The following is a 21329-nucleotide window of genomic DNA, read 5'->3' on the forward strand; positions in this document are numbered from 1 at the left end:
CTAAACTAAAGAGCTTCTGCACAGCAAAAGAAACTATTATCACAGTGAACAGGCAACCTACAGAATCGGAGAAAATTTTTGCAATCTATCCATCTGACAAAGGGCTAATATCCAGAATCTATAAGGAACTTAAACAAATTTACAAGAAAAAAAAAAAAAAACAACCCCATCAAAAAGTGGGTGAAGGATATGAACATATGCTTCTCAAAAGAAGACATCTATGCAGCCAAGAAAGACATGAAAAAAAGCTCATCATCACGGTCATTAGAGAAATGCAAATCAAAACCACAATGAGCTACCATCTCACACCAGTTAGAATGGCTATCACTAAAAAGTCAGAAAACAACAGATGCTGGAGAGGATGTGGATAAACAGGAGCTCTTTTATACTGTTGGTGGGAGTGTAAATTAGTTCAACCATCGTAGAAGAGTATGGAGACTCCTCAAGGATCTAGAACCAGAAATACCATTTGACCCAGCAATCTCATTACTGGATATATATCCAAAGGATTACAAATCATGCTGCTATAAAGGCACATGCACACACATGTTTATTGTAGCACTATTCATAATAGCAAAGACTTGGAACCAACCCAAATGCTCATCAATGATAGACTGGATAAAGAAAATGTGGCACATATATACCATGGAATACTATGCAGCCATAAAAAAGGATGAGTTCATGTCCTTTGCACGGACATGGATGAAGCTGGAAATCATCATTCTCAGCAAACTAACATAGGAAAAGAAAACCAAACACTGCATGTTCTCACTCATAAGTGGGAGCTGAAATATAAGAACACGTGGGCACAGGGAGGGGAAGGAACGTCACACACCGGGGCCTGTTGGGGGATGAGGGCCTAGGGTAGTGATAATATTAGGAGAAATGTGGATGATGGGTTGATGGATGCAGCAAACCAGCATGGCAGGTGTATACCTATGTAACAAACCTGCATGTTCTGCACATGTATCCCAGAACTTCAAGTATTGTAATAATAAAAAAAAATTAACACTAATCCTCAAACTCTTTGAAAAAGTTGAAGAACAAACACTACTTACTCATTCTATGAGGCCAGAACTAGTTACTCATTCTATGAGGCCAGAATTACTCTGATACCAAAGCTAGAAAAAGATACACAAAAAAACCTAAAGACCAATATCCCTTATGAATATTAATATAAAAATCCTCAAGAAAATTATTACTTCAGAATTCAGCAACATATAAAATGATTATACACCAAGAACAAGTGGGAATTATTCCCAGAATGCATGAGTGGTTCAATATACAAAAGTCCACCAATTTAATACATCACATTTACAGTAAGGGAAAAAAACTACATGATGAACTCAATGAATTTTTAAAAAAGCATTTGACAAAATTCAACAGGCTTTCATAAGAACATTCAATTAACTATGAATAGAAAAAAAATTTCCTTCACATGACAAAGGCCATATATGAAAAACCCAAAGCTAACATCATAATCAGTAGTGAAGGACAGAGCTCCACTAAGATCAAGAATAAGACAGATACCCAATTTCACTTCTATTGAATATATACTGGAAGTTCTGGTTAGAGCAATTAGGCAAGAAAAGGAAATAAAAGGTATCCAAATTGGAAAGGAAGATAAAAGGTTTTCTCTGTTCACAGACAACACAATCTTATATGCAGAAAACCCTAAAGATCACACCCACCCCCACACCCACACCCCCGTTAGAGCTAATAAACTAAGTCAACAAAGTTGCAGGATGCAAAACCCGCATACACAAATCCGTTGCATTTCTAAACACTGCCAATTAACAATTAGAAAAGGAAATTAAGAAAATAATTCCAGTATAATAGCATTAAAAAGAATAAAATATTAGGAATAAATTTAACTAAGGGGGCAAAACATTTGTATGCTGAAAACTACAAAACATTGCTGAATGAATTACAGATGAAAAATCAATGGGAATATACATCCTGTGTTCATGAATGGGAAGACTTCATACAGTTAAGATGACAATATTACTCAAAGTGACCCACAGATTTAAAATGATCCCTATCAAAATCCCAACAGTGTTTCTGCAGAAATAGAAAAAGTCATCCTAAAGTTCATGAAATCTCAATGAACCATGAATAGCCAATCCAGTTTTGAAAAACAAGAAAAAAGTTGGAGGACTCATACTTCCTGATTTCAAAACTTACTACAAATCTACAGTTATCAAAACAGTTGCTACTGGCATAACAACAGACATATAGACCAATGGAATTAAGAGGCCAGAAATAAATCTTCACATAATTTCTTTTTTTTTTGGACAGAGTCTAGCTCTGTTGCCCAGGCTGGAGTGCAGTGGCACGATCTCGGCTCGCTGTGACCTCTGCCTCCCAGGTTCAAGTGACTGTCCTGCCTCAGCCTCCTGAGAAGCTAGGATTACAGGCGTGTGCCACCACGCCTGGCTAAATTTTGTACTTTTAGTAGAGATGGGGTTTTGTCATGTTGGCCAGGCTGGTCTCAAACTCCTGACCTCAGGTGTTCCACCCACCTTGGCCTCCCAAAGTGCTCGGATAACAGGCATGAGCCACTGTGCCTGGCCTTTTTTTTTTTCTTTTTTTTACTTTTTTAAAGAAAAATAGAGATGGGGTTTTGCTATGTTGACCAGGCTGGTCTTGAACTCCTGCCTAGGCTGGTCTCAAACTCCTGGACTCAAGCAATCCTCCTGCCTCAGCCTCCTGTATAGCTGGGACTACAGGTGTATGCCACTGTGCCCAGATCTAATTGATTTTTGACAGGGGTGCCAAGACCATTCAATAGGAAAGGACAGTGTTTTCAAAAAATGATCCTGGGAAAGCTGGATATCCACATGAAAAAGAATGAAGTTGGAGCCTTAACTTACACTATATACAAAAATTAACTCCAAATACATCAAAGACTTAAATGTATTACAAGAGCTAAAACTATAAAACTCTCAGAAGCAAACATATGAGAAAAGCTTCATGACATTGGTTTTGACAATGATTTCTTGGATATCACACCAAAAACAACAACAAAAAAAACCCACATTAATTTGGGCTTCATCAAAATTCAAAACTTTTGTACCCAAAAGGACACTATATCAAGGGAGTGAAAAGACAACAAACAGAGTGCAAAAAAGTCTGCTAATCACATACACAATAAGGGATTAATATCCAGAATACACAGAGAACGTCTACAACTTAAAAAAAAATTCAAAAGCGGGCAAAGGATGTGAAGAGACCTTTCTGCAAAGAAGATGTATGAATAGCCAAGAAGCCCATGGAAGAATGCTCAACATTACTAATCATTAGGCAAATCAAAACCACAATGAGATGTTACTTTACACATATTAGGATGGCTATTATCCAAAAATATGAAAAATAACAGGTATTGGTGAACATGTGGAGAAACTGGAACCCTCTGTGCACTGCTGGTCGGTGTGTAAAATGGTGCAGCCACTGTGGAAAAGTTTGCCGGTTCCTCAAAAACTTAAACACAGATTTCCCATATGATCCAGCAATTCTACACAGCAGCAGTACTCATCATAGCTCAAAGGTAGAAACAATCAAACATCCATCAACAGATGAATGAATGTATAAAGAAAATGTGGCATTTACTTATGGAATATTATTTAGCCTTAAAAAAGAATACAATTCTGATACATATGACCACATGGATGAACCATGGAAAGATTTCATGGATGAACCATGGAAAGATTTCATGGATGAACCTTGAAATCATTATGCTAAGTGAAATAAGCCAGACATAAAAGGACAAATATTATATGATTCTACTATGAGTTACCCAGAATATGGAAATTCACAGAGACAGAAAGAAGAATAGAGGTTACCAGGGTAGGGAGAGAGAAAAATGGGAAGGAACTGTTTCATGGGTATAGAGTTTCAGTTTGGGATGATAAAAATGCTCTAAAGACAGTGGTGATGGTTGCACAACAATGTGCATGTACTTAATGCCACTGATTTGTACATTTAAAAGTGACTGAGGGTAAATTTTATGCCATGTATATTTTGCCACAGTTGAAAAAAAAAGCTACAACCCTTCCGGAAGGGTTTTTGGCAATATCTAACGAAATTACACAACTTTTTAAACCAAACAATCCCACTTCTAGGAATTTATCCTGAAGATATGTCTCTAACAATACAAAATGACATACGCATAACATTATTCACTGTAGCTTCTTTATAACTGCAAATATTGGGAATAACCTATATGCCCACCATAAGTAGAAGATAAAATAAAGTTGGTGTATACAATGCTGTACTATGCAGCTATAAAATAAAAATGTGCTCTATGAATTGATATGGAATGGTTTCCAGGATATAATTTTTTTTTTTTTTTGAGACAGGGTCTCACTCTGTCACACAGGCTGGAGAGTGCAGTGGCCTGATCTCAGATCACTGCAACCTCCACCTCCCAGTTTCAAGCAATTTTCATGCCTCACCCTGCCCAGTAGATGGAATTATAGGCGCGTGCTACCATGCCCCACTAATTTTTGTATCTTTAGTAGAGATGGGGTTTTGCCACATTGCCCAGGCTGGTCTCAAACTCCTGACCTCAAGTGATCCGCCGACCTTGGCCTCCCAAAGTGCTGGGATTACAGGTGTGAGCCACTGCACCTGACCAGGATATACTTTTAAGTTAAAAACATAAAGTGTAAAAGAATAATGCTGTCCTTCACATAAGAAAAAATGGCACATAAGAAAATACAGATGTATCTGCTCATTTGTGCAAAAAGAAATCCAGATAGAGGTAAGAAATGGAAGGCAGAGAATGAAGGAGGCAAGGACACCTCCAAGTGTCCCTCTTGGGATGTGGGCTCCTAGGAACAACAATTATGTTTCCACAACTCCCACATAAAAACAATGTACAGACACCATGATGTTGGGGGGGTGCACAAAATGAAATATAAACCACTAGCCTGAGTAACTGGAAAACAGTATCTTGACAGTAAAGTTAAACATAGAAAGAACTGTACGTAAGGTATTTTGTTAGGAAATTTCTCAAAGGGATATGGATTAGCAATTGTGAAGTTACTTTTTGTGTATATTAGGATTAAACAAATTAATCCATTTCAGATAATTAGTCAGGTTTCTCGCTGTTTAAGATGAAGAAAGGGCTCCTTGGAAATGCGGCTGGTCCAGCGTTGGGTCAGGGAAAACACTAGTTGAGCCTGGTTCATCCAGCATTGCCGTAAAGTAAGAAAATAATTTAAAAACTATTAATTCGGTATGTTGAGAGGACAGAGGAGGCAAACTGAAGGAGCTTCCAATGGCTGAAGCTCGGGCTTTGAGCAACAAAATAGTGTTAGTATCATAGAAAACAATAATTTTTTTTTGAGACAGTCTCACTCTGGTCACCCAGGCTGGAGTGCAGTGGTGTGATCTTAGCTCACTGCAGCCTTGACCTCCTGGGCTCAGGTGATTTTCCCACCTCAGCCTCCTGAGTAGCTGGGACTATAGGCACCTGCCACCATGCCCAGCTAATTTTTGTATTTTTAGTAGAGATGGGGGTTTCCCCATGTTGCCCAGGCTGGTCTCGAACTCCTGACCTCAAGTGATCTGCCGCCTCGGCCTCCCAAAGTGCTGGGATTACAGGCATGAGCCACGATGCCCGGTCACAATAATAATATTATTAATATTATAACAATAGAATAAAATAAAATATCCATGAGCCCATACTGATGTAATTATTAATAACTGAATAAGTGAGGAAAAAGGGATAGTTTTTCTCACAGCAGAATGTTAATTAATGTATACAGAAGGTATGATGGAAATGGAAAATCATGATTAGGTAAACGCTACAGTAGTAACTGTTACAGGCAGAAGCCAACAATGGATGCTAAAATTAGTGGGTTAGAAGATATTGGCATAGTCTCAAAGAGACTTATTAATTAGAAAGGAAAAAAATAGCAACTTTTTAGTGAAGAAAACTGGCAGACAGCACCTTAATGAAGTGATCAAAGTTAACATCACCAGCAATAAGACAAAATGGTACCATGTACCCCTGCTTCACTGACATGATGTAATTAGAAGGGCACAACATAGTTTCTGTGGTATTCCTGACAGAAATACACAGCCTCAATGGAATCCCTAAGAAACATTAGACAAACCCAAACTGATGGACATTCTACTAAACTGGCTAGCTAGTACTCTTGACAATGTGCCAAGGAAAGATGCAGACAGAGTAACTGTCACAGATGGAGAAGGCTAAGGATACTTGACAACTAAAAGCAATGTGGGAAACTGGATCATAAAAGGACCTTCATAGCAAAACTAGAGATACCGGACCGGTCTATAGCTTAGTTAATAATATCGTATCTGTGTTAATTTTCAGTTTTACTCTGGCTTTGAGAGATGTTGGCATTAGTGGAATCTGAGTGAACGGCACATAGGGAATCTATCATTTTTACAATGTTCTGTAAGTTTAAAGTTATTTAAAAAGAAAAAGATCTATGGCATATCTAAATCTTTGATGACCATAGTTTCATGGATTCATAACTATTCACCAAGCTAAATTAATACTACTACTAAGTTAGAAAATCTTGAGAGAAAGTATAAGTCTTCCCTGTCTGCAATCTCTACCATTTGTTTACACCTTTATAATGAGTGTTCCAATTGATATGTTAACATGGTTTTTTCACCCATACCAGTCCATTCCAAGAGAACAGGGACCAAGATATAGTTGCTCCTACCTTGTGACTTGCACATTTTTGTCAAAAGTAAATGCTGCCTGGTATAGTGCCGTGTGCCTGCAGTCTCAGCTACTTGGGAGGCTGAAGCAGAGGATCGCTTGAGCCCAGGAGTTTAAGGCCAGCCTGTGCAACAAATCAACACCCCACCTCTAAAAATTAAATAAAATTTAAAATATTTTAAATTTAAATAATATTCTTGCATTAAAAAGAGCTGTAGTAAAACAAAAAAAAACATCCTAAAATAAATATTTTAAAAAAGTAAATGCTGAGTGTACTGTGAATGAGTGAAAAATATGTAAAAGATCTCAATACTATAGGAATTATTTACTTACGCTCCACAAAGGAAGTAAAGAGCATTCGAAACCTGCTAAGCCGACTACCTTCATCTGCCCACATTCGAATCACTCCAATTCCTGTTTTAAGCATTACATCATTGGCCACAGTGCTGCAAAACTTGGCCTTCAGGTTTTCAATAGAACTGCTTCCATCATAGACTGCAACGAAGTTTCTCTTGCATTCATTTGAGTGCTCCATTTGATAATCTAGGAACCTCAAATAAATCTGTAATATTAACACAAAAACACTGCTTTTAAAAAGATATATTAATTTGAATTTTTCTATTTCTATTTTCCACAGACAACATGGGACACCGAATGACAGCTGACAGAAAACCATAATCGATAAATGGCTGATGCCTAAATAGTGAGAGGAACTAAGATTAATGATCTGTTTCTTTGGTTGTCTTTATAATGGAACCAAGCATTAAGGAACTTACTTTGTGTTTTGTCTATAAAGAGTAGAAACTTTTTGCTCACAAGGCATAACTATCTCACATTTTTCTCATTATAAAAGCAATCTCATGGTACTGGACAGGGGAGAAAATAAAATAATCACTCATATTTCTATTATTCCAACAATGCATGTGATTAATTGGTGAGTTTCTTTTCACTCTTTCTGCACATTAAAAAAACCTGTGTTTAATTGTAAGATATACACATCCTACTTTAGCTGTAACATATAAAAATGTTTTTATCTATACTCTTAGCCATACCTATTCCCGGATGTCCTATTATTTATTTACACAATATCCTACTGTTCTACATGGTTGCTTTATTTCACCTCTTAACAATACCTGCATTTTCAGACAGGCAGACGTCAACTGTACTATCAAAGGAAGCTCTATTAGCATCCCCCATTCAAATTTTATAGCTAAATGGTTCTAAGTTATTTCCTAAACACTCTTGACCCATTCTTGTTTGGCGATTTCTCTTACATTGTGAATTTAGATTTTAAGCATTAATCTCCAGAAGAGCCTAATGAAGTAGGTATCATGTTTTTTTGTGGGCAGAGATGAATCTGTTATTCGGTGGCAAGGATTAAACCCAGGTTGGTCTGACTCTAAATGTGCGTCCTTCTCATTCCATGAAGCGCTTTACATACTCACACAGTGTTCCCTGTTTGGGCTCTAGTTTCTCATATGTGACTCTATCATTAAAATAAAATTTGAGTGAGTGAATAAAGATTACCTTTGAATTGCCATTCAAGACATCTAATGAGTATTCACTTCCTAGCTATTATTTCTGAGGGAGCAGTATGCCACATCTACCCTTTAATTCGAAGAGATTAATAAAACAAAAATGTCATGTCATATATTCCCCCCCCACCCCACCAAATACCTTGATGGCATAAAACTAAGAGAGAACAACTTACAAAATATAGCTTAAAGAATTACATTTTGACTAAATAATTTTGGTTTATTTGAAATGACTGGTTCACCACTTCCGTGAGAATGGTGGAAAATTGGTAATGAAATAGGATTTCCAGTTCAAAACTTTACAAAGTCTTCATGCGTGTATTTTAACAAAGAAGCAATATGTTTTCTTAAATATATCAACAGTTCTCATTAGTTTTCCATCACTTATATAACCCAAACCCTCCGCTCACACTCTGGTAGCGAGCTCTAATGCTGTAATGACTTCCCTCTTCCACTAGACTGTGATGTCTTCCAATGGAAGGTCACTGGCTCAGTTTCATCCAGTATAATTCTTGCTCATGGCAGACAATGAGAAAGTGACTAGGCTTGTAAAACTATGACTTGGTAGAAGTATCAGTAGAATAATCAAGCTGTCTGAAGTATTTATATTTACTCTCTGCTTTTCTTTTAATCCAAATAAATATGGTATTATATAAGGCTATAGTAAATGCTCTTCAAAGACATATTTTTAAAAAAACATCGAGTTAAAGATAAATAATAACAAGATCACAGCACTTTTCTACTGTAAATACAGCTAAATATTGAATTGTTTAGTTCAACAAATTTTTGGGAAATATTCATAACGTGAATCTGACAAATTGCAATGTTGGGAGAAGGGCATAAACTACTTTTCTTTTACTCCAGATTGCATGAGAAGGGATCTTTTACTTACAACTTTCATCAAGTAAGTGACCTCTTACCCTATCCCTATATCCTACCCAGGGAGGCAGGGCAAGTTACCTGGATGGTGGGAGTTTGGTTTCTTTTTCCCTCCCCTCATAGGAAGTGGGACTGGGTAGGCCGGTCTGCTCTGCAGATGCGAACTTTCCCTGGAGTGGAATGGGCTGTTCTAGACTTAGGTGAGACGTAGAACTGGTGGGCAAGGAGTTGCCAACACTAATTAGATCATCTCTCTGCGTTGCTCTCTCTATCCTAGCCTTCACTGTGGTAAAGAGGCTTTTCCAACTCCCTACACACTGACACTTTTATTTCTCAATTGGTTCAGCACTCCACCAGGGAAAAGGGATGCTATTTATTGGAGCCCCTGAAGACCCCAACAGAAATGAAATCCCCAGAAAGCTACTATCATGAAAAGGCCACTGATAAAAGTGGACTAAAACACTATTTGTATACTCTTAAACATCGATGCCTTCTTTTGTATATTTATTTTTAAAATATATTTTTAATTTTAAAAATAGAGACAGGGTCTTGCCATGTTGTCTAGGCTGGTCTTGAACTGCCAGGCTCAAGTGATCCTTCCGCCTCAGCCTCCCAAAGTGCTGGGACTGCAGGCATGGGCCACCGTGACTGGCTTCTTTTTATATTTATAAATGGATATTTTTCTTAAACATCACCCATGAACTAGTTTCTCACATTTAGTATTCAAGGGTAATGGTGACTTTTAACATTTAATTTAGATTTCTTAAATAAAACCATCTATTTACACTTTTTTGTTTGTTTGTTTTCTTTTTTTAGACAGAATCTCACTCTGTCTCCTAGGTTGGAGTTCAGTCGCGTGATCGCGGCTCTCACTGCAGCCTCCACCCCCAATTCAAGAGATTCTTGTGCCTCAGCCTCCTGAGTAGTTGGGACTACCGGTGTGCACCACCACACCTGGCTAATTTTTTGTATTTTTAGTAGAGATGGGGTTTCACTATGTTGCCCAGGCTGGTCTCGAACTCTTGACCTCAAGTGATCCGCCTGCCTCAGACTCCCAAAGTGCTGGGTTTACAAGCGTGAGCCACTGCGCCTGGCCTATTTACACATTTAAACATTCAAATTTTAAAATTTGATCCAATTCCCATGTCAACTGTAATAATTTTTTTAAGTTTAACTGATTTACTTTTATTAAAAGCAATACAACATTCTTCTATAGTCAATATTCCAGGTAACGCTCCTAAAAATTTGTGAATATGGAATTATCTTTTCAAGGAATATTTCAATGAAGAATGAGATCTAATAAATATTGTTTAATTTCACTTAAAGCACACTTAATATTTTCATACTTACATATCTATAAAAATATGTTGTATTGTTCCATATATTTTAAAACCTCATACCAATTATAGAAATAAATCACTATGTATCCATTCTCCTATTGGGCATTTAGCTTGCTTCTACTTTTATAATTAGCTAATACTGCTGTAAACATTGTTGTCTTCTCTTTATGCACAGGTATGACGATTTCATTTGGGTATACATCTAGAAGTATACTTGTGTAGTAGCATGTGACCATTTTCAGCTTTACCAGAGCACATCCGAAATAGCTCTCCAAAGTGGTTGTACCAATTTATATACATTTTTCTCTTTACAGTTGAATTCTAACGAGACAATTTATACTTCTAAAGCAAATTCTTTGAGTCTGCTTGCTCTACTCAATCCACTACTCAGTCCTTGCTGACACTTCAAGAACAGTTCCACAACCCACTCAACTTCTCTTGTGCTGTCACTGTGCAGTCAAAATCCATCTCCAGTCTTCATCCCTGGTAAGCAATGATCTGTTCTTTGTCCTACAGTTCACTTTTTCCAGAATTTCATATAAATGAAATCACACAGCATGTATCCTTTGAGTCTAGCTCATTTTATTTAGCATGATGCATTTGGGGTTACTGCATGTAGCTGTAGTTTATCCCTTTTTATTGTTGAATAGATGTTACTATATGGATGTACCACAGTTTATTCTTTTTTTTTTTTTTTTTTTTTTGAGATGGAGTTTTTGCTCTTGTCGCCCAGGCTGGAGTGCAGTAGTGCAATCTTGGCTCACTGCAACCTCCGCCTCAAGGATTCAAGCAATTCTCCTGCCTCAGCCTCCCAAGTAGCTGGGATTACAGGCACCTGCCACCAGGCCCGGCTAATTTTTTGTATTTTCAGTAGAGACAGGGTTTCACCATGTTGGTCAAGCTACTCTTGAACTCCTGACCTCAAGTGATCCCCCCACCTCAGCCTCCCAAAGTGCTGGGATTATAGGCGTGAACCATCGCACCTGGCCTATTCTTTTAAAAGCTAAAGAACACTTGAAACATTTCTAGTTTTTGGTTATTACAGATAAAGTTGTTATGAACATTTACTTATAGGTTTTTTTCCATAAACATAAGCTTTCATTTCTCCCGGGTACCCATCCAGAAGAGACGGCTGAGTCACACAGTTACTTTATAGGAAACCACCAACCTGTTTCCCAGAGCGGCTCTATCATTTTGCACTCCTACCAGGACTGTATCAGAGTTTCAGCTGCTCTACATAGTTCCCAGCACTTAGTGATTTTTCTAAATTACAGTTATTCTAATGGAGAATAGTGCCATCTCATTGTGGTTTTAATTTGCATTTTTGTAATGATTAAATCTTCTGTGGTGAAGTATCTGTTGAAATCTGTTTCATAATTGGGTTTTGTTCTTATTGTTGAGTTTTGAGTTCTGGATGAAAGAAATCTTTTCATAGGTGATTTTTTTTCTCCCAGTCAGTGGCTTTTTTTTTTTTTTCTCACTCAACAGTGTCTTTCACAGAGAAAAGCTTTTTCATTAGTCCAATTTATAAATTTCTTTTTTTTTTTTTTTTTTTTTTTTTTTTTGAGATGGAGTCTCGCTCTGTTGCCCAGGCTGGAGTGCAGTGGCATGATCTCGGCTCACTGCAAGCTCCGCCTCCCGGGTTCATGCCAGTCTCCTGCCTCAGCCTCCTGAGTAGCTGGGACTACAGGCCCCCGCCACCATGCCCAACTAATTTTTTGTATTTTTAGTAGAGACGGGGTTTTACCGTGTTAGCCAGGATGGCCTCGATTTCCCGACCTCGAGATCCGCCCGCCTCAGCCTCCCAAAGTGCTGGGATTACAGATGTGAGCCACCGCGCCCAGCCTGAATTTTTCTTTTATGGATACTCTTTCGGTGTTGCATCTAAGAACTCTTTGTCTAACCCAGTAAGATTCTTTTCATATATTCTCCTCTAAATGTTTTATAATTTTACATCTATGTCCATGATTTATTTTGAGTTAATTTTTAAATACAGTGTTGGATGTAGGTGAGGCAACACCTACACTCAACAGGTGAGGGTTCATTTTTTTTTTCTTTGAATATGGAGGTTCAATTGTTCCAGCACCATCTGTTAGACTATCCTTTCTCCACTCAATTTCCTTTGAATGTCAAAAAAATTAACAAATCATATTTGCAGAAATCTAATCTCTGGACTATCTTGTTCCATTGATCTGTGTGTCTGTCCTTTGTCAGTACCACAGTCTTGGTTACTGAAGCTTCACATTAAGTCTTGAAATCAGGTCATGAGTCTTCCATGTTTGTTCTTTTTCAGAATAATTTTGGCTTCTGTAATCCCTTGCTTTTCCATTACATTCTAGAATCAGTTTGTCAATCTTTACAAAAAATATAGCTGTGATTTTGATTGAAATTGTATTCATCTGTGTAGATCATTTTCATAAGAACTGACATTTTAGCACTACTGGGCCTATCAATACATTGACACAGTATATTTACTTAGGTCATCTCTGAATATTTTCATTATGGTCTTTTAAGTTTTCAGTTAACAGATACTACACAGTTTTTTTTGGTGGAGTAATATTTTAAATGGTACTGTTTTCTTAATTTTGAACTACAGTTTTCATTGCTAGTATATAAAAATTCAACTGATTTTTTTTTTTCTTGAGACAGGGTCTCAGTTTGTTGTCCAGGCTGGAGTGCAGTGGTGCGCTCTTGGCTCACTGCAGCCTCCGCCTCCTTGGCTTAAGTGATCCTCCTGCCTCAGCCTCCCGGGTAGCTGGGACTACAGCTGCAGCCACCATGCCCGGCTAATTTTTATATATATATATATACATATATATATATATATACATGTATATATATATATTTTGTAGGGGCTGGGTTTCGTCAGGTTGCCCAGGCTGGTCTTGAACTCCTGAGTTCAAGCAATCCACCTGCCTTGGTCTCCCAAAATGTTGGGATTACAGGCGGGAGCCACAGTGCCTGACCTGCAATTGATTTTTGTATACTGGTCTTCCATCCTGCAACCTTGTTAACCTGATATATTTGTTCCAGGAGCTTTTCAGATGCTATGGAAATTTTTATATAGACAACGATATCTTCAAAAAGATTGATTTCTTCTTTTTCCAATCTGTATGCTTTTTTGTACTGGCTACAACTTCTAGTATAACATTGAATAGGACTTAGCTTGCTACAGATTTTGAAGGGGAAAGAATTCAGGTTTTCACCACTAAGTATGGTGTCAGCTGTAGGGTTTTCTGTTTTTTTTTTTTTTTTCTAAGAGACAGGCTCTTACTATGATGTCCAGGCTGGCCTTGAACTCCTGAGCTCAAGTGATTCTCAATCCTCTTGTATCAGCCTCCTTAACAGCTGGAACTATGGATGCATGCCATTGTGCCTGGTTTAGCTGGTAGGTTTTTGTAGATACCCTTCTTCAGGTTATGGAAGTCTCATCTGTTCCTATGTTTCTGAGATTTTTATCATGAATGGGTGATGAATTTTAACAAATGGAGACAATCATAGTTTTCTTTAGTCTTTATGGTGAATTACATTGATTTTTCAAATGTTGAACCAGACTTGCATTCCTGAGATAAACCACGCTTTACTATTATGTATTTTTTTATATTGCTGAATTAGATTTGCTAATATTTTATTGAAATTTTTGCATCTATTTTCTTGACGAATACTGATCAATAGTTTCCTTATAATGTCTCTTTGTCTGTTGGTATCAGGGTAATGCTTATCTTACAAAGTAAGTTTAGAAATGTTCCCTGCTCTTTCATTTCCTGGATGATACTAAAGAATTGGCATTATATCTTCCTTGAATGTTTGGTACAATTTGCCAGCGAACCCATCTAGGCCTAGAGTTTTCTTTGTTAGAAGGTGTTTACGAATTCATTTTTTGAATAAGCACAGGATGATTTGGGTTGTGTATGTCTACTGGGACATGTTTGGGCAGCTGTGTAGCTTTTAAGAGATTTACCCATTTCATCGAAGTCATCTGATTTTCTGGCATAGAGCTGTTCCCTGTATTTTCTTACTCCTTTTAATATTGGTAGGGTCGGTAGTGATAGAATTCTCTCTTTCATTCCTGATACTGGTAAAATGGTTGAAATTTACCCAGATATTTACCATTCGTTTCCCTTTAGTCATGAAGTTTCATGATTTTTTCTAGTATCATTTATCTTATCTAAATAACTTCCTTTATAGCAAGTGCATAGGTGATAAATTCTCTTAGTTTTATCATTCTTGAAAGAAGTCTTGCATCACAGTTCCCCTTACTGCCTATCCCAGCTTGTGAAGATTCTGATCCACTACCTTTGGCTTCCATCATTTCTAAAGAGAAAAAATAGTCATTCAAATCACTGCTCCCTTATACAAGATGCATCATTTTTCTCTGGTAGACCTCAAGATCTCAATCTTTGATTTCAAGTAATTTGATTTTGATGTGTGCAGGTATTGCTTTTTGTTTTTGTTTATCCTATTTGGTGTTCACTGAGCTCCTTAAATCTGCAGATATATGTCCTTCAAGTTTGGGACTTTTTAGCAATTTTTTCTTCAAATATTTATTCTGTGCCAATCTCTTCTCCCGCTAGGACTTAAATAACACAAACGTTAGGCCCTTTGAAACTGTCCCATAGACAGTTTTCAATTACTTTGTTTTCAATCTTTTCCCCTCTGTACTTCTGATTGGATAATTTCTACTGATTCAAGTTCAGTGACTTTCTATTTTCTCCATTTTCCTATTGAGCTCATACAGTGATTATTTGTTAAAAATTCAGATTTTTCTTTTAGTTCTAAATTTTTCACTTAAAAAATTAGTTTATTTCTCTGCTGAGTCCTATTTTCCTACTCTTTGAGAGTGTTTACTGCTATCTCATGAAGCATGGTTCTATCACTGCTTTAGAATTTTTGATAATTCTGGCTGGGCAGGGTGGCTAATACCTGTAATCCTAGCAGTTTGGAAGGCTGAGGCAGGAGGATCACTTGAGCTCAGGAGTTTGAGAACAGCCTAGGCAACATTGTGAGATCCTATTTCTATTAAAAACATTTTTTTAAATTAAAAAAAGATTTTTGGATAGTTCTTAATATTTGGGTTAGGGTTGGGATCTATTGGTTGTCTTTCATTAAAAATTAACCAGATTTTCCTAGTTCTCTGTATGTGATTTTTCATTGTATCTTGGACATTTTAAATATTATGCTGTGTGACTTGGATCCTGTTAAAAAATCCCTGGAGAATGTCGTTTTTTGTTATTTGTTTTGGTTCTGCAGACAATCAACTAAGTTGTGTTCGCACTGCAAATTCTGTCTCTCTTTGTTTGGGTGGTGGTCCCAATGTTCAAAGACTTTGCTGTGCTGGGTAGGCTTGCCCAGTGTGTGACACACTCAGGGACTCAGAGGTGGTTTATACTGTAACATGGTTCCCAACACTGCTGCCACGTTTCCCTGGATCTGTTCCACACACAGGCACCTCAGAAAGAAAGCCTGCATTAGTGCTTCCCTGCTCTAGTTCTCTCCTCTCCAAGACTTCTTCATATTCTCCAGATGACAACATGGTCTCCTCTATCTAGTTCCTCTGGCCAGAAAGACAAGTTTTCCTTAGAATTTTAGTCTCCCAACCTGTTGTGAGTTCTGATTAAGAGAGAAAAAAGCCGGGATTCCCTCCATACTCTCCAAACATCACCATTTATATATACCCTTTACAAATCTACTGACAAATCATTATTTATAATATTCTCTTATGATAGTCTAAAACATTTGTTAAAATTTCAAATATGCAAAAACAGACAAAAATATCTGTGTACCCAGCTTCCAACTTCAACAATTATAACCTAGCCAATCTTATTTTATTTGTCTCTCCTAACTTCTACCTCTTACATACTAGAGACAAATCTCAGACATTAAATCATTGCATCTGTAAACATTTCTGTATCACTAAAGCCACTTAAAAAATAACCTTTATCCTATTATCAAACCAAACAAATAAATAACTTAATATTAAATACCAGTGTTCAAACTTCTGTCATCAGTTCCCTCCATTTATAGTTTGTTTCAATCAGTAAGTTCACTTGACTTTTATATCTCTTTTAATCTATAGGTTCTTGTTTTTTCTTTTTCCCCCATTGTCATTTATTTATGAAAGAAACAGTTTCTTTCCTTTTTTGTTTGGCAGATCTACTTTCTACTTGGTTTGTTTCATAATAGTTTTAAATCCTTGCTGTAGTTGATTTATAACTTTTCCATTTCTAATATTATTTATGTTTTTTTCTTTTTCTTTTTTTTTTTTTGAGATGGAGTCTTGCACTGTTGCCCAGGCTGGAGTGCAGTGGCGTGATCTCAGCTCACTGCAAGCTCCGCCTCCTGGGTTCACGCCATTCTCCTGCCTCAGCCTCCTGAGTAGCTGGGACTACAGGCGCCCGCCACCACGCCCGGCTAATTTTTTGTACTTTTAGTAGAGATGGGGTTTCACCATGTTAGCCAGGATGGTCTTGATTTCCTGACCTCGTGATCTGCCTGCCTCGGCCTCCCAAAGTGCTGGGATTACAGGCGTGAACCACTGCACCCGGCCTATTTATGTCTTTTTTTTTCTAGATCAATCTTGGCATAAGTCTGCCTGTTGTTACCTTTTACAAAGAGCCGATGTCAGGCCTCACTGATTTATTCTTTTTGTATCTTCGTTTTTTTTTTTAATTTCTGTTTTATGATTGCCCTTTCTTTGGATTTGTTTTTCTTTTAACTTCTTGAGTCTTAACTTATTAAATTTCAGTCTTTTTTCTCAAAGTACTGTTTTAGCTGTACCGCAGTTTTTTTAAATGTAGTATTTTCATTAATGCATTTTAAATGTATTCAAATTTCCATACTGATTTCTTCTGTGACTTACAAATTACTAAGTAGTATATTATTATATTTCCAAACATATGGAGTTTTAAAGTAATCTTTGGTTGCTGATTTCTGGTTTAATTGCATTTCTGTCACATGATGCTCTGCATATATGTTCAGACTTCCTTTGTTAGCTGAGCACGTGTATCTGTTTTGATGAATGTTTTATGAATGCTAGTAGAGAATGCCTATTTTCTGGATGTTGGGAGCAAGATACTGTGTCCATTAAGCACATACTGTGTAATTTAAATCTTTTGAGCCATATTAACTTTTTGTATGCTTGAACTGTTAATTACTAAGAAGTAAAAAAAAATTACCAACTATGTTATGGATCTGTCAATTTTCCTTGACAATCAACAACCTGTTTTGTGCATTTTAAGGCTATATTAATACCTGAGATTTATCTAGTGAGATAGAGACATTCTTGATTTGTTTTAATAGTTACATCAGCTCTTTTTTGACATTTGTCTGTTATTTCTTTCCTAGTTTTGTATTTTCAAATTTTCCTGTAATTATCCCATAAACAAGATATATTTGGATTTTAACTGTAGCATTTAATTCATTTATTACTTTGCAGAGAAACATCTTAATTTTGTCCTCATTCTTTTATTTTTTACTTTTATGGGTATATAATAGCTATATGTATTTATAGGGTACATGAGCTATCATGATATAGGTATACAGTGCATAATAATTACATTAGGATAAATGGGGGATCCATCATCTCAAGCATTTATCATGTGTTACAAATAACCCAATTATGCTTATTTTAAACTGTACAATAAATTGTTGACTGTAGTCACTGTGTTGTGCTATCAAATACCAGATATTAATTCTATCTAATTATACTTTTGTACCCATTAATCATCCCCACATCCTGGCCACTGCCTTCATTCTTAAATGACAATGAACACTCTTAACACTATGAAGACATTATTCTATTGTCTTCAGGCTTCTATTTTGCTATTGATAATTCTGGTGTCAATCTTAATAGCATCCTTTTGTAGACTATTTTCTCTATTGTTTAATAACTTTTCTCCTTGTCTGTGGGGTACAATGTCAGTGTCACTTAAATTTTTTTTTCCTGCTTGGGAGTCACCCTGTGTCATGCTTTTCATTAGTTCTTGAAATTTTTTTTTTCTTTTTTTTCCTTTTCATGTCAGATAGGCAATGTGCCGACATGGTAACAAGGCTGGAGGGAGGCGCACGTCACATGTGTGCGTCAACATCCGGGCATCAGACTTACACACTACAGAGTATCAGTTATGGAAAATCCCAATAAACTGCCACCTCTTCCAGCGATACACTCTGGGTAATTTCCTCAGACACATCTTTTAATAGCCATACTTTTAACTTATAGACCTCCTATTTGGTTATTTTAAAAATGGACGTGGTCATTTTTCTTTCTCATCTCTGTTTCCTTCTTGTAGGATACGTGAAACACTCAAATTCTTGGGGATCTAAGGAACTCCTTCCTGTGTGTTATGTCGGTGAACTCGTACCCATGGTGGGCTGTGAGCATAGGGGTTTTAGAATCTGCGGGCTGTGAGCTGACCTGCAGCAGTGTTTTATCCATGCCAACCCTGCAGCTTTCTTGGTGACTTTTAGATTTATTTTTGCCAGGTGACTCAAAGGTTTAATGCACCCAGGACCATTCTGTCAGTCTTTGGACTTCATGACTCCTGGGTTGAGCAGGGAATGTAAATTCATTTCTCAAACCCTAATAAAGGCAGGGTTTCTAAGTATAAAGCTAGGGGGGACCCCAGCCTCACCTCCAACCCCACCCTGAGACTAAACCCAGAAAAACAAGCTTCTTTGTCATCAGCATGTGGTAGTGAAACATTTTTTCTAATCTATGCTTTCATGTGAGTTGCCTCCCTTTGAGGGCTCCAGCTTCATGTGAGTCTCACAAAGGCCATGTGAACCCCAGGACTCTTCTTTTCTCAGTATGGGAATTAAAAGGAAGCTCCCAGTATGTCTACCCCTGTGCAGTAACAGGTTATAAAAGTCAGCCAGGGGCATCTGTAACATCAATTTCAGTTTATTAATCTACAGTTCTCTCTCTTCATTTCTCATCCATAAGCATTACCCTCTTTTTCTCCTTCCTGGAGCTTACACATATGCTTTTAAAATAATTATTTGTCATATTTTACCCAATGTTTCCATGTGTCTTCTAGCAGATGGGTTTTCAGGTTACCTTATCTATCATATTACCCAATCTTTAAATCTGATTTTCATGATTCTTGAGAGGTATGTTTTCCCACCCTCACTCTCTCCTCTTTTCCCTCTTTTTACATAATACGCATTAAATATAATTTTAACTCTGTTGATATTCCTAGAAGTATACATTAAATGCAAAAGTATCCAATCTCAATCTGTCAGAGTTATTTAAAAACATCCTTCCCTGCAGTTCTTTCCAATAAAAGCACCCCATGAGTAGCAGAGGATGGCAGGGTAAGAACAGACTCGACACATTTGGGTTTTCGCTTTTAGATTGCTACGACCAACTCTGTAACTTTTGAGAACACATTTTCACCTCTTGTAGCCTATTTTCTTCCTCATAAAGCTGTTAATGAATCTATAATCATACTGATCAGTATGCACACTCACCAATTGGGAACTGACAGGTCTTAAGAATCTTAATCTTTTATAATTGAGAATCTTAATATATATGTAATATTCCTGAAGAATTTCAGAAATTTCAGTTTATTTAACTATAATAATGCTGGGATCTTAGTAGATGCCAATAAAGTAAGTGAAATAAAATACATTTTAAAAAGTTGCAGTATCAGTTTATGTAGTCAATAAATATTTACACAAACCAAAATTACACATTTTGCAAATCATGCCTTATCATGATGTTCTTCTCTGAAGCGACTCAATACATAATAATACCTTAGCTTTTGGAGTGGCTTTAATGGTCCAGATGCAATCAACGGCTTGGCCTGGTTTTGTTTTCTCCTCTTGTTCTACCTGACTAGAGCGCACTATTCCATCAGCTCCCGAGAGCTCGAACTGACAATCTGGAAGGAATACATGAAAGGTGTTCAAAGGAACATAAGACTAATCAAAAATGCCAAGAGGAACAAGTGGTAATATACTAAACCTGGAATGGGATTTAAAATACCTCCTAGGTAAGTAAAGTCTGGATCTGTAACAGAAAAAAGAAGAAAGTCATTGGTACTGAGATAGTTACTTTAATCCTCGATGTCTTACATTACATCTAACGTTCCATTTCATAGCAAGGTAAGAGAAGCTTTCATTGGTGAAAACTACATATCATTGGTCATTTAGGAGCTCGCTTACAGGATTGACATTTATTTAATCACGTTTATATTTTTGATTCCATAGTGAATAATTTATTTATGCTACTTGCAAACTCACATCAACTGTCAGAGTTGAACAGGTAAACGGAACATCACATATACAATATACCAGAATATTATTTGGCCTTAAAAAGGAATGAAGTTCCTTTCTGCTGAATCATATTACAATTTGTCTTCTAAACTTCGGCTTAAATGGATGGTGGTAATAGTTGCATAATACTGTGAATGTACTTAACGCCACTGAATTACACACTTAAAAATGGTTAAAGAGAGCTAGGCATGGTGGCTCATGCCTGTAGTGCCAGCTACTTGGGAAGCTGACCTGGGAGGATCTTTTGAGCCCAGGAGGTTGAGGCTGCAGACAGCAGAGACAGCACTATTGCCCTTCAGCCTAGGTGACAAAATGAGTCTTAAAAAAAAAAAGGTTAAAGGGTAAATTTTGTTATGTATATTTTTTACCACAATAAAAATAAAGTTTTAGAAATTATAAACACAGGTATCTTTAAAAAATTATTTTAAAGTTCAGATAGAACCTGTGTATATACCTAACAGCCAGAATAAAAAAAATTGCTGGGTTGTCTAAAATGTCTCAGATTTCTGGAAAATCTATTTATTTTTGTTTATTTTTGAGATGGAGTTTCACACTGTTGCCCAGGCAGGAGTACAGTGGCACAATCTCGGCTCACTG

The 21329-nt window shown here is 36.9% G+C and overlaps 1 protein-coding gene and 1 non-coding gene across 8 annotated transcripts in view; both read right to left on the reverse strand.

The window, feature by feature from the left end:
• Positions 1 to 21329, reverse strand: part of NETO2 (neuropilin and tolloid like 2) — a 66243-nt gene that overhangs the window by 24744 nt on the left and 20170 nt on the right. For 4 of the 7 annotated variants that reach the window (XM_006721289.2, NM_018092.5, XM_017023740.2 and 1 more), the window contains exons 5-7: positions 20422 to 20466; positions 20211 to 20338; positions 7037 to 7265 (exon numbers count right to left, since the gene is read on the reverse strand). In XM_006721289.2, the coding sequence (XP_006721352.1) occupies positions 7037 to 7265; positions 20211 to 20338; positions 20422 to 20466 (402 nt within the window). The remainder of the gene's footprint in view (positions 1 to 7036; positions 7266 to 20210; positions 20339 to 20421; positions 20467 to 21329) is intronic. The other 3 variants (XM_006721291.2, NM_001201477.2, XM_047434728.1) reach the window with 1 other exon arrangement.
• LOC124903806 (small nucleolar RNA U13) lies at positions 18473 to 18575 on the reverse strand. Its single transcript, XR_007065250.1, has one exon. It is a non-coding gene; the product is annotated as a small nucleolar RNA U13 (small nucleolar RNA).

The sequence above is a fragment of the Homo sapiens genome, chromosome 16, assembly GCF_000001405.40.
Source record: "Homo sapiens chromosome 16, GRCh38.p14 Primary Assembly".
Lineage (NCBI taxonomy): Eukaryota > Metazoa > Chordata > Mammalia > Primates > Hominidae > Homo > Homo sapiens.